Below are 16,068 nucleotides of genomic sequence, written 5' to 3'. Positions count from 1 at the left end.
CACTTCAGTATTTTCTCAATTACATTTCCCCAGTTATTTTAAACTTGGATTTTAGTTGGCAAAGATTGTCTTCATTGCAATTCATCCCTAGTGAACTCAGTGACCACGATCACAACTGTTTGTGTCATCACTTGAATAATAAAGTTTACATCATATTATGCTCATGGATTGCATCACTGTCAGAACATTGTGGAATTTTACAGCTGGCATTAACAGTACACCTTTTTGATCCTACATCAAAGCATTCCAACCTGTTTGTGCCTTTAATTACCTCCTGTTAGAGTCCACTTTTCATGTTTTCTAATGCACATTTCCTTCTGTTTTTTTTTTTTTTTTTCTCTGAGACAGTCTCTCTGTGTTACCCCCGCTGGAGAGCAGTGGCATTATTTGAGCTCACTGATACCTCAACCTCTAGGTTCAAGCAATTCTTGTACCTCCATCTTTTGAGTAAGTAAAATTATATTTGCCCAAGATGCTGGGCTAGTTTTTGTACTTTTAGTACAAATGGGGTTTCACCATGTTGGCCAGGATGGTCTTGAACTCCTGGCCTCAGGTAATCCACCCACCATGGTCCCCAAAAGCACTGGGATTACAAGCTTGAGCCACCAAAGACCACCTCTAATGCAGATTTTCAACACGTTGGTTCCATGCTCCATACAAAGTCAGATTTAATTGTTTTTGTCAGGATTTATTAACTTTTAGATTCTGAGTCCAGATCATGAGCATGGCTGAACAAATCCATTCCAGACCTGATATTTGTTTTCCTTTCAGCTTCATGTCTTTGTGTTTCACCACAGTCTATTTGGAGCAACATTCGGAGAACATCACTTTCAGCCATGCCCTTTACCATCTGGTAACAAGGCTCCCATTTCTACTTGGAGGTAAAAGGCTCTCTCCCTGTTTGCCTACTTAAGACTCATACAACACAGATATCACTCCTTCTAGGAGGTGCTTCTCATCTATCATATTAGTTTTCTTGTCTGTCTGTGTGCCTTGGACAACCAGCACTGATGTAATACAGTATCTGACACATATATGTATGTGAGTGTGTGTGTATATACACACACACACACACACACACACACACACACACACATGTATGTGAATTAGTTGATGTTGACTGCGGACTTACAATCATAAACTCTATTTTCGTTGTCAAAAACACATATTCTTGGTATTGAGGCATTATTTGTTATTCTTCGTTCCTCACCACAACTTATCATAAAAGCGTACCTCACAGTATCCTTCACTAGAGATGCAATATTTTGGACTTACTGAGGCTAGCGTCCCTGCTTATCCCTTTGACTATCATGCTTTCTTTTTACATCTAGTTATGATTTTCCCCTGCTTCTTCTAAAAATTCTTTTTCATCTTCTGCTTTGAGTAGCAGGTCCTTGTCTGAAAGAACTAGCTGTATCCTTACCACTCCTTCCTTTATTTGCAGTGGAGATTCCTGGTTGCTGTGATGAAATGGGATACACTGGGGATCCAGCTGCACAACTTTTCGGAAGCAGCATTCACTGTGGATTTGGTATATTATGCAGCTTTTGGTGTCACAGGCTAAGGTCTGACAAGATTCACCATGCAGTTTTCTGGGATAGCAGAAAATGAACATGGATTTGGACAGCCAGATTCCTCAGGATGGAAACCTAGTGGTGCCATCTAACCATATACGTATATTTCCAAGTTGTGCATAAGTAGAAAAAGTTTAGAATCCATCATCTAAAAAGGGAATCCTGATTTCCTTTCCTGGCAGACCATGACAGAAAGACAAAGGTCATTTCACCTATATCCACATGCTATTAACTTTTTAGTTCTCAAACTGGGTTTTCAGAAGGTAGTGTGATAGACATGGTTAAATGGTTAACAGGAAGAATGTTTAAAAAAAAAATTCCGGCTGGGGTGGTGGCTCAGGCCTGTAATCACAGCATTTTGGGAGGCCAAGCTGAGTCAGGAGAATCGCTTGAACCCAGGAGGCGGAGGTTGCAGTAAGCTGAGATCCTGCTTTTGCGCTCCAGCCTGGGTGACAGAGTAAGACTTCATCTTAAAGAAATCCACAACAATAAAAAGGCTAATGCCAGACACAATAAAAAATGAAAAGAATAACTTGGGTGAACAGCAAGGCAAGAAAGAAAAAAGGAAATGACAGTTTAGAAAGTGAGGATAAAGTAATGAAAGATGGAATGAGACAGGTTAACATGTGGAATACATTATTGTAAGTTTAAGGCCCGAATAAGACGAGTGTCAAACAACAAAAGCAACAGTAAAATAAGCACAGAGAGGAGGAGAGAGAGTGTGAAGGAGGAAAAAGAGTAAGCAAATGCAAAACATAAAGTGATCAGCATGATTAGAAAATCTGTCCATTCCCACCCTCGGAAAATTCTTTGTATTTTGAGGAACATCCTTACAAGATTTTAATGTAACCAATCACAGAGCAGTCTAACCCAGAAAATATCCTAGCTTCTTCTAGGATTCATACAAAGACATTGTACCTTCTTAAGTATTCTCTCTCTATCTAGGTTAAACTAGCTTAAACTGTTTCAATAACAAAAATTACTTTGAATTTTCTGCCCAAAAGGAACATCACGGACGTTCTTCATCTTGAGTCATCACTTGAGTAATAAAGTAGATGGAGAAGATGTACTTTCTCCCTCACATAAATGCAATTAATATCCGTGCGTGATATATATAAAGCAAACATAAGACTGAAGGATGGAGCAAGAAGATAAACTGGTGAGGAAATTTAAGATGCAACAAGTGATAAGATGGTTGAGTTCCCTGAATTCTTTTTGCCTGGTGTTATCACAGACTTGATCCTGAAGGAGCTGGTACCGACAAATATAAGTAGGTATAGACAGAATTGTCCCCCAAAAGCTCCAGCCTCTATAGACACAGGTCTAGGAAAGGGACACCTTATTAAGACAAAAATCTTTGTACAATAGCCATCCTACTTTCGTCAAACATTACAACACAAAACAAAACGACCCAAAAAAGCTAGCCAGGACAACAAAGTTTAAGTTGGAACATAGAGAGCACCAGGCATTAATGAAGCAACCCAACCCTCTGCCGGAGTGGAATCAGGGAAGGTAAAGTAGAGAGCTAGAGTTTTCAACCCTGCCGTGTGGTAACAAGATACCCTTCCACTTCTAGCCAGGAAGGTACAAGTAACACCTAGGTTGAAGCTGGAATCTGCATATTTATTTATCAGTAATGAGGAGCACTGCCTTGGGTGTCAAAGGAAGTGAAGACGGGAAGTTGGAATTGTGGCCCTACTTGACAAGTATACACTTCCCTCTGTTAGGGTGGTATCAGACAAAGCCAGCTACAGATGAACAAATAGGATGTCAAAATATGGTCCGGAGTCTCCTAACGGTCCCCCAAATGTTTAACTTTCAAGTAAAAATCTGAGACAGAAATTCTAGTGCTACTGTTATGGGATCACTGTGGTGTCAATTTTACTTGCCAGAAACCTCTGTGACCACGATGCCTTTCCTTGAGTTCTTGTCCTGTGTGCAGGGAGAATGAGATAGAGAGTCAAGTGAAGGGTAAAGAAGAAGAAGAGTTCTATTTAGTGTTAAAACAGTTCAAAGTATTGGTGTTCACTCAGGACGGTAGCAGAAATACTAAAGGGAAATATTAGGGAAAGATATAGGGAATAGTCACAAACCTTTTGGAAGGCTGAAAGGTTACATAGCTTGTAATAATTGAACAGGCTGAAGGCAGCCAGTTCTTACCTTAGAGCATTAGGTCATAGGATAAATACTAGGGACAATAGAGGCTTCCCCATTTAAGCTTGTTAACCTTACCTCCATTAACTAACCTTTAAGGCAGATTGCCCTCTTGGAGGAAGGTTGACCAAGGATATTGCCCTTTAATGGAATTTACTTTAGACCACGGTACCTGAGCTTTAATCATTCATAGAACTACTCTCTCAACCATGTTAATTATGTACAAGTGTGCTGACTCAGAGTTTCTGTTGTTAATCACATACTAACTAAGTGACTGGAGTGCAAGCTTCTAAGGGCCGGTCACAGTAAAAAACATTTCTTGATGTGCAGGCGCTTGGACACCCAGCTGTACTGGCAAAGCAGAATATTTGTCAGTTTATGCTTTATTCATCCATCTTTTGGGTCAGGGTCTGCAGGCAGACCCCTACAGCTAGTGCCCTCTTGTGAGGAGCAATACCTCACAAAGGAGTGGGTAGCTCTTCTCTATAGGCAGGTCTTCCCATGGTGTGTTCACTCTATAGAGAGGGAGGCTCCTCTCTGCAGGCAAGTCATTTACATGACTCTGCAGGTCTCTGCAGCTCTCTGCTGCAGCTGCTGCTCCCAGCGGAGAGGGTACTGCTCTCCTCCCATGGTCTGCAGGGATCAGCAGGAAGGGTACCCCTTTCTGCAGCAGACTGGCTTTTTAGTGTCTTCATAAGAACTTTCACAGAGCAATAGTTTTTAATTTTGATTTGATCCAGTTTATCGGTTTTCCTTTTATGGTTTATGCTTTTGGTATCAAATGTAATAACACTTTGCTACAACTAAGAGGCTTCAATTTTCTTATGATTCTTTTATTCTGAAAATGTTTTATAAAATGTCTTATAATTTTATATTACATTGAAGTTCATGAGCCATTTTGAGTTAATTTGTGTAGAGTAATGTTTATGTTAAGGCTTTATTTCTTAAATTTATGGATGTCCACATGCCATAGCACCATTTGTTGAAAGGCTGTTTTTCCTCCACTGATTTTTGCTTGCCAGATTTATGTCATATTACCTGGTCATATCCACACCAGTGTGGCTCTATTCCTGGGCTTTCTCTTCTGCTCCATTTTTTACACGAATCTGTCTCTATGCCAATACTAAACTGTCATGATCACTTTAGCTGTTTAATAAGTCTTTGAAATGTTGTTGATGGATTTCTCCCACTATATATTAAACACTAATAATTGTCTTAGCTATCCTAGTAAGTTTGCATTGTCTGCAAAAATTCTTGCTGAGATATTGATAGGAATTGCATCAAATATATAGATCAAGCTGGGGAAAATTAACATGATATATTATATCTTTACATCCATGAACACCGTGTATCTCTTATTATTTCTATTTGATTTATTTCACCAGTATTTTATATGCTTCAGCATACAGATCTCATACCTGTTTTCTTTTGTTTAAATGCATATCAAAACATTTGATGTTCTTTGGAGCAGCTGTAGATGATACAGTTTCTAATCTGGGGAAATGGCAGAGTGCTAACTAGTTTAGATTTACTTTGTCTGTTCAGTTCCTAGGAGGGTGGTTTGTGGTAGATGGTTAACTCCCCACTGAAGCCTTCTGACAGGATAGGTTAGAGGAGGGTAGTGGGGACAGCAGGCAAGACACACAGTGCAATCTGTCCTACTTAGCTCTGGCTCTTTAAAAACTGTGGTTGTTGGGTCGACCTGTATGCTCAGCTTGCTACCGGAGTCTGCTGACATAAGGGAATTAGAATGCTCTCCTCTGCTTTCTCCAGGAGGGTGATAGAATATTCTCTCTGGCCGGGCACAGTGGCTCATGCCTGTAATGCCAGCACTTTGGGACGCCAAGGTGGGTGGATCACCTGAGGTCAGGAGTTTGAGACCAGCCTGACCAACATGGAGAAACACCATCTCTACTAAAAATACAAAATCAGCCGGGTGTGGTGCCACATGCCTGTAATCCCAGCTACTTGAGAGGATGAGGCAGGAGAATCATTTGAACCAGGGAGGTAAAGCTTGCAGAGAGCTGAGATGCTGAGATTGTGTGTCATTGCACTTTAGCCTGGGCAACAAAAAGAAACTCCATCTCAAAAAAAAAAAAAAAAAAAAAAAAAAAAAAAAAAACACAACAACAAAAAAAGAACGAAAAGAAAAAAAAAAGTTGCTGACTAGTTTGACTTCATGGGGAATGAGAGCATCACTGACATGTTGAGAAGACTGTCTCTGTACATGGCTCCACAGAAATGGCAATACTAGTTAATTTTATTTTATTTTATTTATTAATTATTTTCTGGTAGTGTTTATCTGGAATAGTTTGGTTATTACCTTTAGAAGTGTTTCATGCTATTGTGTGTGGTTAGGTCATCCTCTCCTTGTCCTTTGGTTGAGAGAGAAGAGGATTTCCTTGAAGTCCTTTTCTTCTGTGCCTATTGGAGATTCTGGATTGGAAACTTCTACAGTCCATCATCTGCGATATACGGAAGACACTAGGAAAACCAAGTAAAGTGACCATGATACCACTCTGCAAGTCCTTATGTCCCCAGACAAACTGTCTTCCTTTTTCTATCTTTCAGATCCTGTCCTTGTTTTTTGTCTTTACATCTGTGGTGTTTCAGTTGTTCAGAGGAAACAATGGGGTGTTGCATTGTAACTAGAAATCCTAGGAAGTGAAAGTTTGAGAATGGCTTTTAAAGTACCATGCAAACCAAATCTCATAATGCAAAACATGGGAAGATATGGCATGACATAATTTACCCAAAATAAAGTGATTTTTATAAAATAAAGTCTTCACCAAATTTAAATAATCTCAAAGAAGTCTGCTGAGATCAGCTTGGTCATGGAGACCTTAACCCAGCTGTGCTAGAGGAATTAAAGACAGACACACAGAATTATGAAGTACAGAGTGGGAATCAGTGGGCTGACAGCCTTCAGAGCTGACAGCCATGAACAGAGTTTTACCCACATATTTGACAGTAAGCCAGTGATAAGCATTGTTTCTGTAGATTGTAGATTCAGTAAAAAGGAAGACAAAGAGTTGGGTTCTCACTAGTTATCTGAAGCAGGAGCAGGTCCTTGAGGCACAGATCGCTCATGATATTCTTTGTGGTTCAGGAATGCCTTAAGCGGTTTTCTGCCCTGGGTGGGCCAGGTGTTCCTCGCCCTCATTCCAGTAAACCCACAACCCTCAGTGTGAGTGTCATACCCATCATGAGCATGTCATAGTGCTTCAGAGATTTTGTTTATGGCCAGTTTGGGGGCCTGTCTATGGCCAGATTTGGGGGTCTGTTCTCTACATATTCCTCTTTTTGGTTTTTCCAATTCGATAAAAGCAAAGGTGGCTTTATCACGGTGAACTACGTCTCACAGGACTTGGGATCTGCATCTGCAGACTATACAAAGACAAACAACACAGATTTAAAGCACAATCATCTTTAAATCAGAGTCTCCAAGTGTTTTTGTCCTTTTTAATGGGTTAATAGCAGCTAATCCATCCACAGCTCTTTCAAGCACTCCTGTTCCTGGCATTAAGATCAAGCGTGCCTGGGATAATTCAAATATTTGCTCTTCTTAATTTTGCAATATCCAAAGACATATTTGTAGAATGTCCTTCTAGATGCGTTTTTATTCTTTCCCAAATTTTGATCAGATTGCCGTTCTAGATGCTTTTTTATTCTTTCCCAAATTTTGATCTTATTAAGAGCCAATAACAGTTTCCACAAATCCTAATGTTTAGCTCCTAGAGCGGGTTGTATCATTTGTTGTTGAGGTGCCATTTTACCTCCATGTTTCCAGAAGATCTCTTGCTGTATCTCTTACCATTTCTACCATCTGACCATTTTGGTCAGACAAGCTGAACATAGTGTGGCCTTGGCACACAGACCGAGAGGTGCGATTTAAGCTAAACTTCCCCTTAGGGGACAAATCAATAAATATTCCATAGGAATCGTTGCAGAGCACCTCTGCATGTTCTGCAATGCAATTTTCTAAAACAAGTACATTCATTTATTCTGGCCGTGTCTATTTCTGTTTACAATTAGATTCTTGAGGGCAGTATGCCTCAATTCTAGGAGCAGATTCATTATGATAAACACTGAGACCAGAAAGCATATGTAACTGTGTCAGCCCTGCAAAGGAATACTCATGGCAATGGTGATCACCAGTATCATAGCTATCATTATATGGGGGACTCATTGTCCTACTTTCCTCAGGTTTTCTTTTGCCATCTGTGGCAGCTTCTTGATCTGTCCCCAGGTAGGTGGCTGTGTTCAATGCGTGTTGCTCGTGATAGTTGGGGTACTCCTCAGCATCAACTTAGAGAATGCTGCCACCGCTGGATCTTTGAGATCCTCCTAACACCTCTTCCAGGGTATCTGGCTCATAAGCAGGGCTTTAGGCATCTCAGTAGCACCCACATTGGCAGTTGATCAGTCCTGGAGAAACACAAGCATAACCTCTACCCCATGTTATTATTTTACCTATTTCCTAATTTTCTGTTATTGGATCTCACCACCAAACCAGTTTTTCTGCTTCTGTCTTTGCAGCTGGTTTCTGCAGATGCTGATCAGCTGCTGATAGCATCTGGCCTCTAGACAGGCTCAAAAAATTTAGAGTCAATAATGCTACATTCAATTTCCTATGTGGTATCCCGTAGTCCTTGATTCCCCCTTTGGCTTTTGCAACTGCTCTTTCAGGGAGAGATTCATTCTTTCCGCTACGGCTTGTCCTTGAAAATTATATGAGATACAAGTTATGTGTCTAATATTCCATATAGAGAAAAATGTCGCTACAGCTTCATTAGGGTAGCCTAGGGCATTGTCCATTTTAATAGAAGCTGGACTGCCCATCAACACAAAACACTGCAAAAGTTGACATTTAACACAGGCAGAAGACTCTCCTAATTGGCACGTAGCCCAGACGAAGTGAGAAAAGGTGTTTACACATACATGTACGTAAGTTAGTCTCCCAAATGAGGAAACATGTGTGACATCCATTTGCCAAAGATCCTTAGGTTCCAATCCTCAAGGATTAACTCTTCCTGTAAAAGATGAGGAATGCAAGCTGGGTATTGCTGGATAATAGCTTTAGCTTCTTTCCAGGTAATGCTGGACCTGCATTTGAGACCAAAGGCATTAACATGGGTTAAATTGTGAAAGTGTTTGGCATTAGATATTGTAGCAGCAAATAGGTGGTCAGCCATTTGATTCCCTGCAGTCAAAGGTCCTGGAAGAGATGTATGAGCTCTAATATGAGTAATGTAAAAAGGGTGCATTCTACTCCTAGCTGCTCTTTGTAATTGGGTAAATTCATCAGTCACTCATCTGTGTGGAATCATGCTGAGCATTTTCAACCGACTGTGTAGAATGAACCACATATGAAGAATCAGAAATCACATTTATAGGCATATTACAAGCAGTCCATACCTCAATTACAGTTACAAGCTCCGACTTTTGAGCTGAAGTATAGGGCATTCAGAAAACTTTACCTTTCGAGCCAGAATAAAAAGCTTTGGTATTACTAGACTCCTCTGTGAAGATATTTTTAGCATTTTCAATAGGTTTAAATTTGGTTATTTTAGGGAGAATCCAATGAGTTAATTTCAAAAATTGAAATAATTTTGTTTTTGGAAAATGGTTATCAAGAATACAAAGTCAGATAAATGTGTTTGTCAAGTAAGGCTATTTGTAAAAGCCTGTTGTATTTGTGTCTTTGTAAGGGGGACAATAATTTTTCCAGGATGATATCCTTGTAATTTAATGATCTAAGTTCTTCCATTTCCTATCATAGTAGTGATTTGATCCAAATAAGGAGTCAAAGTCCATGAATTAGTACGTGGAAAAAAAATCCATTCTACAAGGTATTGCCCTTGAACAATAACACCAGTAGGTGAATGCTGAGTTGAAAAAAAAAAATCTGTAAATCTAGAACTGGAGCCCACACTTGTCCCATTGTAACCCTGATGCTTCCGAACTTCTCTACTTACTCACCATGGGGATTTCTTAAGAGTAGCCAGGTGTCCTTCAGTGTAGTTCCACATTCTCCCACCCTCACTTTGGTGACTCTTTGACCTGGGTTTGATTCCCCCGTATGGTCACGACTTGCCGAAGCCACATCAGTCATGGAGACCATAACCCAGTAGCGCTAGTGGCATTAAAGACACACACACAGAAATAGAGAGTGTGGAGTGGGAATCAGGGGGCTGACAGCTTTCAGAGCTGAGACCCATGAACAGAGTTGTACCCACATATTTATTGACAGCAAGCCAGTGATAAGCATTATTTCTATAGATTATAGATTAACTAAAATGGGAGACAAAGGATGGGCTCTGGCTACTTAACTGCAGCAATAATTTGTCCTTGAGGCAGTTTCAGGAATGCCTTAAGAAGTTTTCTGCCCTGGGTGTGCCAGCTGTTTCTTGCCCTCATTCTGGTAAACCAACAACCTTCAGCATGGGCATCATAGCAATCATGAGCATGGCCTGTTCCCAACAAATTTGTTATAATATATGTAAACTAGCCAATGATTTATAGCATATTAATAATATAGATCAATGAAGAAATGATAAAATACCTCTCCTACACTTGGAAATGAAATAAAGTTGGCAAGGCTTCCAGAAAATGTAATCAAAAATATGTACTTCCTCAACTGCAGAAGGGTTATAGTAAAAATACCTTTCTCAGAGGTTTTATTTGTTAAGTGGCAAATGATTTAATAGAAATCAAGCACTTATGTCTAGTTCACTGGAGCAAAGTTAAAAGTTGCAAAAGCAACTCTTATGAAAGCCAGAGATTATAACTGTATGACAAATTTTAAAAAATCACACTGACTATCAAGAAAAGAAACAGCTCTGAGGTTTGGACTTTAGCAATATTAGTTTGAGATTAAACTTGGTCGTTCATTGAAACAGTCAACAGAGCAGTAAATTTAGATATATTCCCAGGAAAGAGACCATTTCTGTGTTCAGCGGGGTTGGGCTCCCTGCCTAAATACTTGGTGAAAAAAAGTGTGGTTCAGACATTTAAGTAAAATATTTAAGTCAGTACAGAACATCATGTCCTGCAGATAGCAGGATCTAACACAGAATGCGGTTTTTTATTGAAATTGATGAGAAAAGATTTTTATCTCAACCTCTATCCTGTGGGATATGCAAGACTGAGGTTAGATTTTTCATGTTACCTACATAATATAACTACCCCCAAAGCAGAAACTGGTATAAAATACTAGATTGCACAATTAAGTTCCTAAAATCCTGAAAAGATTAACATAAAACTCCCCCCATAAGTATCACTTTACACTCAAGAACTAAAGATCGCTTTACCACTTCACAGACAACATTAACAATTCACTGATGGATGTTCCACGTCCTAGGAGGTAGCCAGGGAAGACACACTTAAGGGTCGTACCCAAGGATAAAAAGTTGAATAAAAAATGAGTAAGTTTAGGTGTTCTCTGAGATGAAGAAATGGAATCTAAAAGCAAAAACAGGTGGTAGGAGGACAAAAATAAATTTTTAAAATAGACAATTATACATTTTTGAAAAGTGAACCATATATGAAGGTTCATGAACCATATATTATAGGAACTCAATTTTTTTTTTGTTTGTTTCTTATGCAGTAGATTCCACACAAATATAGCAAGAATAAGTACTTTCCTAAGTAGATCTGTAAGTAAGTTTGCCAGGTGCAGGGTGATAATAATACATTTGAAATGTCACCTTTCAATTTAAATTTAATTACTTGTGGCTGGGCATGGAGGCTCACACCTGTAATCCCAGCGCTTTGTGAGGTGGAGGCAGGCAGATCAGGAGGTCAGGAGATCGAGACCATCCTGGCTAACACGGTGAAACCCCATCTCTACTAAAAATACAAAGAGTTAGCCGGGCGTGGTGGCAGTGGCCTGTAGTCCCATCTACTCGGAAGGCTGATGCAGGAGGTACTGGGTATTAGTGATGGTAATCTTTGTGTTTTTCATTATGAAATAATGTATGTAACTGTTGGGTACATCAGTGCTTTTAAATGGGCTGCTTAATTTAGGATTAACTATGTATATTCATGTTAAGAATTAACACGATTTGACTGTTTCCTGTATTTTATAGTATACATGTGCAGAAATATATTCAAAATTGAGGAAGGAAGCATACCTTTATCAGGGTGCTATTAAACTTGAACATCAAGTATCATATATCAGTTGAGGGTTTTTTTTTTTGATTACTCCATAAAAACGCCTATTTGGGGTGTTTTTTTTAAAATTGGGAGAAGCTGTCTTCTGTGTAGGACGGCTATTTCAAAATATTTCAGTGTTTTGTTTCCTGTTGCATGACAGATTTAACTTTTTTTTTTTTTTTCCAGCAGTCGTGGTACATCAGAGTCCAGTGTTCTAGAAGAGGCAGTGTCTCCACCCTAATTTTACTTTTCTAATTCTGGTAGCTACAGGAATTTTTGAAAGTTTTGTTTAAGTAGTCTGACATTTTTATGTAAAGAGCATGAAATCGTGCTATGTATAAATTTTCAACATCTAAAAGTGAATCAACATTTTCAATCCTTGAATCCCAGCATTTTTGGGAGGCTGAGGTGCATGGGTCATGAGGTCAGGAGATCGAGACCATCCTGGCGAACACGGTAAAACCCAGTTCCTACTAAAAAGTTAAAAAATGAGCCAGGCATGGTAGTGGGCCCCTATAGTCCCAGTTACTCCAAAGGTTGAGGCCAGAGAATGGGAGGAACCCAGGAGGCGGGCTTGCAATGAGCTGAGATCCCACCAATGCACTCCAGTCTGGGCAACAGAGTGAGACTCTGTCTAAAAAATAAATAAATAAATAAAATAAGAAAAAAAGAAAATATTTTCAATCAGTGCCAAGGGCTTCTTGAAGTTCCAATCAAGTGTTACAATAAATATTTGTAGATAATGGTCGATACTTATGCATACTTATTTTAAAGATATATTTAGGTGGGAATAGTTGTGGATGTATTAAGAGTAATGAAATAGAATGTTAGCTTCATTTACTTGTGTTTTTACCATATAATAAATCCTATCATTTTTTTTTTTTTTGTCCTCAGTATGGTGTCACATTTGAATAATGTGCATAACAAAGATTTCACATTGTTATAAAATCAAGTCTGTGAATGCTACTTGTTTTATTTCTGGCAAAAATCTCTTCAGCAATTTAAGAAAATATTATAATTCACTGGTGCAGTATTGGGCATAAAATTGCCACTAGCACTTTGTAGTTATCTGTATAAAGTTAAAAGTTTTCTGACCAGTTTTGTAGCAAATTAAATCCATCTACCTGTAAGATTAACAAGGCTGAAACTTGGGCAAAGTACAAAACAAGGGCCCCTGTGCAGTTGCTTATTTTTCAAATGGATGGTACAAAAGTTGATGGAAAGATTTACTCAGGAATATAAAGAAACCTAGTTCTAACAGTTACTCTCTAGAGTAGCAGAGCTAAATATGTTACTCAGGATTTTATTTAACCTGTTAAATTATTAAGGGAAAGACCACAGTTATGATAGAAAAAAATCAAAAATTTTGTTTCGGGTTTATTTGGTATCTTCATAATGTTCTCAGTTTCTTCCCTGGGGAGTTTCTGCCTTAGCTTACAGGTTTTATAGTCAGTAATTCTTAATGAATCAATAAATTCTTTAATGCAAATTTCTAATAGTTTCTCTTGGCTGACTAAAGGAACCATTCAGGGTTTGTGTATGGAACACGCTGTGTTGGGAAACCAGGTACATTTTGACTTTGTCACTAGATTGAAGCATGCCTGCAGGGAGAATTCTTGGACCATCCTTCTTGAGCACTGATTACATGGGGGAAAGGGAATGATTTTGAAATTAGGTATGCATTAATTTTATAAAATACATTGCCCTAAGAACCATTATTGGAACATATATGTAATTTAAAAGCCTAAAAACTGTGGTGACTTCTAAAAATAAAATTTAGCAAGTACATCAAAATAAACCATCAGGTATGCTTTTAACACCAGGATACTTCAGACTTACATAAAATATTAATGTCAGTACTCATGTACTTGTTATATGATGATAAGTCTTTTCTTTCTTACTCCTAAAATAGTAAGTCATCTCAACCTTTACAAACTTTGACAAATCAAAATCTCTTAAATATTTTATCTTAAGCAAAAAACTATAAATTTTTCTCAAAAGAGTGAAACATTTGAAAGACGCAAGGATCCATATAAACTTTGGATTTTTAATGCCTTTTTACCTTCTTGTCTTCAATGGGGAAGAAAGATACCCATTGCAAGCAGTTAAAATAAACCACAGAAGCCCTGGATGTCTTCCACCCACAGATTCCCCTGTCCATGGGCATTGGCAACTTATCTGTTGACTCCTGGTCTTGCTTCCACTGAATGATTTTTATGTATTTCTCTAAGGAATTTTCACAGTGAGCACATTTGTCTTTGGTTTCTTCATTACTCATTCTTAATTCATTTTTTAAATCTAATTCATTTTTTCAGTGTTCACTTATTCCTGAATCATCCTCTTTAAAACACATGGGCACCAAAGCAGGAAATACACAAATACATTTGTAAAATATTTTAAGTGTTTAAAAAGGCCGTAATATAATCGCAATTTTTAAATTACAGCATGTATGTCAGTGAACTGATTTTTAAAATTGAAGTCATTGCTATCATCAACAGAAGGCAAATAGGTCATCTCAATGAAGGAAGCGATTAATTTCCTTCAAGTGGCCTGTGCTTTAGATTTGAATTAACCAGGAGTCTTGGGAACATCATATGTTGGTGTAATTCAAGCAAGACTTAGAATGTGTGTTAACTGGACAGAGAAATGTATCTGCTAAGCCAGAATCAGAACACAGAAGGGAAGCAGAGGTGCAGAGGAAGGAGGGAGGCGGTGTATGTCCCTGTAAGCAACCTTGGAATGGAAGCCACCTCCACCCTTGGTTTCTTCTACTGCCTGCTATCTGACGTTGACAACCTCTTGTTTAAGCTCCGTTTTTTGTTTAATTGGCTTTTGTTTATGTTTTTTGTTTTTTGTTTTGTTTTGTTTTGTTTTGAAACGGAGTCCTGCAAGTGGACGGCGGCCCCTCCTAGGGTTTTAGCAATTACTCGGATGTGGACCCTTTCCATAACTTTTATTCTACTCCTGATCTCTATACATAGCCTCACATCCACATTTCTGATAGTTTCCCTCCAAACACATGCAGAAACTCCACAGCACCAGCTTCATCACAGGAGTGATTATCCCAGTTCTTCGCTCACGCTCTATCTTCCATCCACCCAGTAACCAGCGCTGGCACATTCCCACTCCCTGTCCTGTGGCTGCAAGAGGGGTCTTCCTCATCATCTGCCTGGAATACTGAAACAGCCCTGTCAAGGCTCTCTGTGAATTCAGTCTCTGCCTGCCAGATACCTGTGGTCATCTGCACTAGGCATTCCCTGAAGGGAAGATATGTATCTCATGTGCAGTGTCTCCGTTCTGGCAGAGTCCAATGCCTTGGTATTCTGGGCTCTGATAATCTGCCTTTTTCTTTCCAGATTGATTTCCCACAACACCACCAACGTTGTACTAGAAATGTTTCATCTGTACCAACCTGCTTGCTGGGGCTGGGCTATGGCTGTATCTTCCTTGCTTGGCATTTGCCTTCACTGTCTCCTCAACCTGTGGCACTCTCATTCTGTCATAAAGCCTGATATGCTGTTGGAGACCCAAATGAAATTTCATCTCCTCCTTATTTCTGAATTGAAAAGTAACCACTCCAGCACCTTACTTGCACAATATCTTGTACCTGCTTCTTGAAAATATACACATATTTGTTTCTCCTACTTCTATTTTTTCCAGGGAAGGCCCATATTTTAACAAATTGTCTTTTCCCTCTGCATCTTGGCATGGGTCCCTACATCTCAAATATTTAAATAGACCTCATTCTCAGAGACAACTATGCTGACCTTTCTCTTCTGGTTCTAGCCATAACCTATTTTTTTTTTTTTTGGTAAGTTAGCAATGCAAATAAGCAGAAAAATATATAGGTTCACCATAGGACTCTGAACTTTTTGCTCACCTTGTTCTAAAGTCATCAACAGGGACTGAGTTAGTTTCAAAAATAGGAGAAAAGCAACACAGTTTTTTCTCTATCTACTCTATCTACACCTGCCATCTCTTCTCAATCCTTCTCATAAAATTAAAATAACTGAAGAGACAGTTGATCATTTCCACAGGCAGAAATGTAACATCCTCTGTGCTAGAAGAACAAGAAGAAAAAAGTTACTCATAAATGAGGTTTCTTTCTTATATGGAATAGTAATTTCAAGATAGCAATGTTATTTAAGCACCTCTTTGTTAAGAAAGAAAGAGGAAGAAAAAC

General features: G+C 38.8%; 1 protein-coding gene across 3 annotated transcripts in view; it reads left to right on the top strand.

Moving 5' to 3' along the window:
• HSFY2 (heat shock transcription factor Y-linked 2) overlaps positions 1 to 16,068 on the top strand; it is a 59,325-nt gene that overhangs the window by 19,701 nt on the left and 23,556 nt on the right. The window contains exons 2-4 of one of the 3 annotated variants that reach the window (NR_003509.1): positions 772 to 881; positions 1,445 to 1,531; positions 2,579 to 2,733. The exons of 1 other annotated variant lie outside the window; for it this stretch is intronic. Coding sequence is in view for 1 of the 2 variants with exons in the window: in XM_017030031.3 (XP_016885520.1) it covers positions 772 to 881; positions 1,445 to 1,466 (132 nt within the window). In the remaining variant the exon portion in view is untranslated. Of the gene's footprint in view, positions 1 to 771; positions 882 to 1,444; positions 1,557 to 2,578; positions 2,734 to 16,068 lie in introns of those variants that run through there. One more of the 3 variants, XM_017030031.3, reaches the window with a different exon arrangement.

This window comes from Homo sapiens, chromosome Y (assembly GCF_000001405.40).
Source record: "Homo sapiens chromosome Y, GRCh38.p14 Primary Assembly".
NCBI lineage: Eukaryota > Metazoa > Chordata > Mammalia > Primates > Hominidae > Homo > Homo sapiens.
This window is presented reverse-complemented; position numbering and strand designations above follow the sequence as displayed.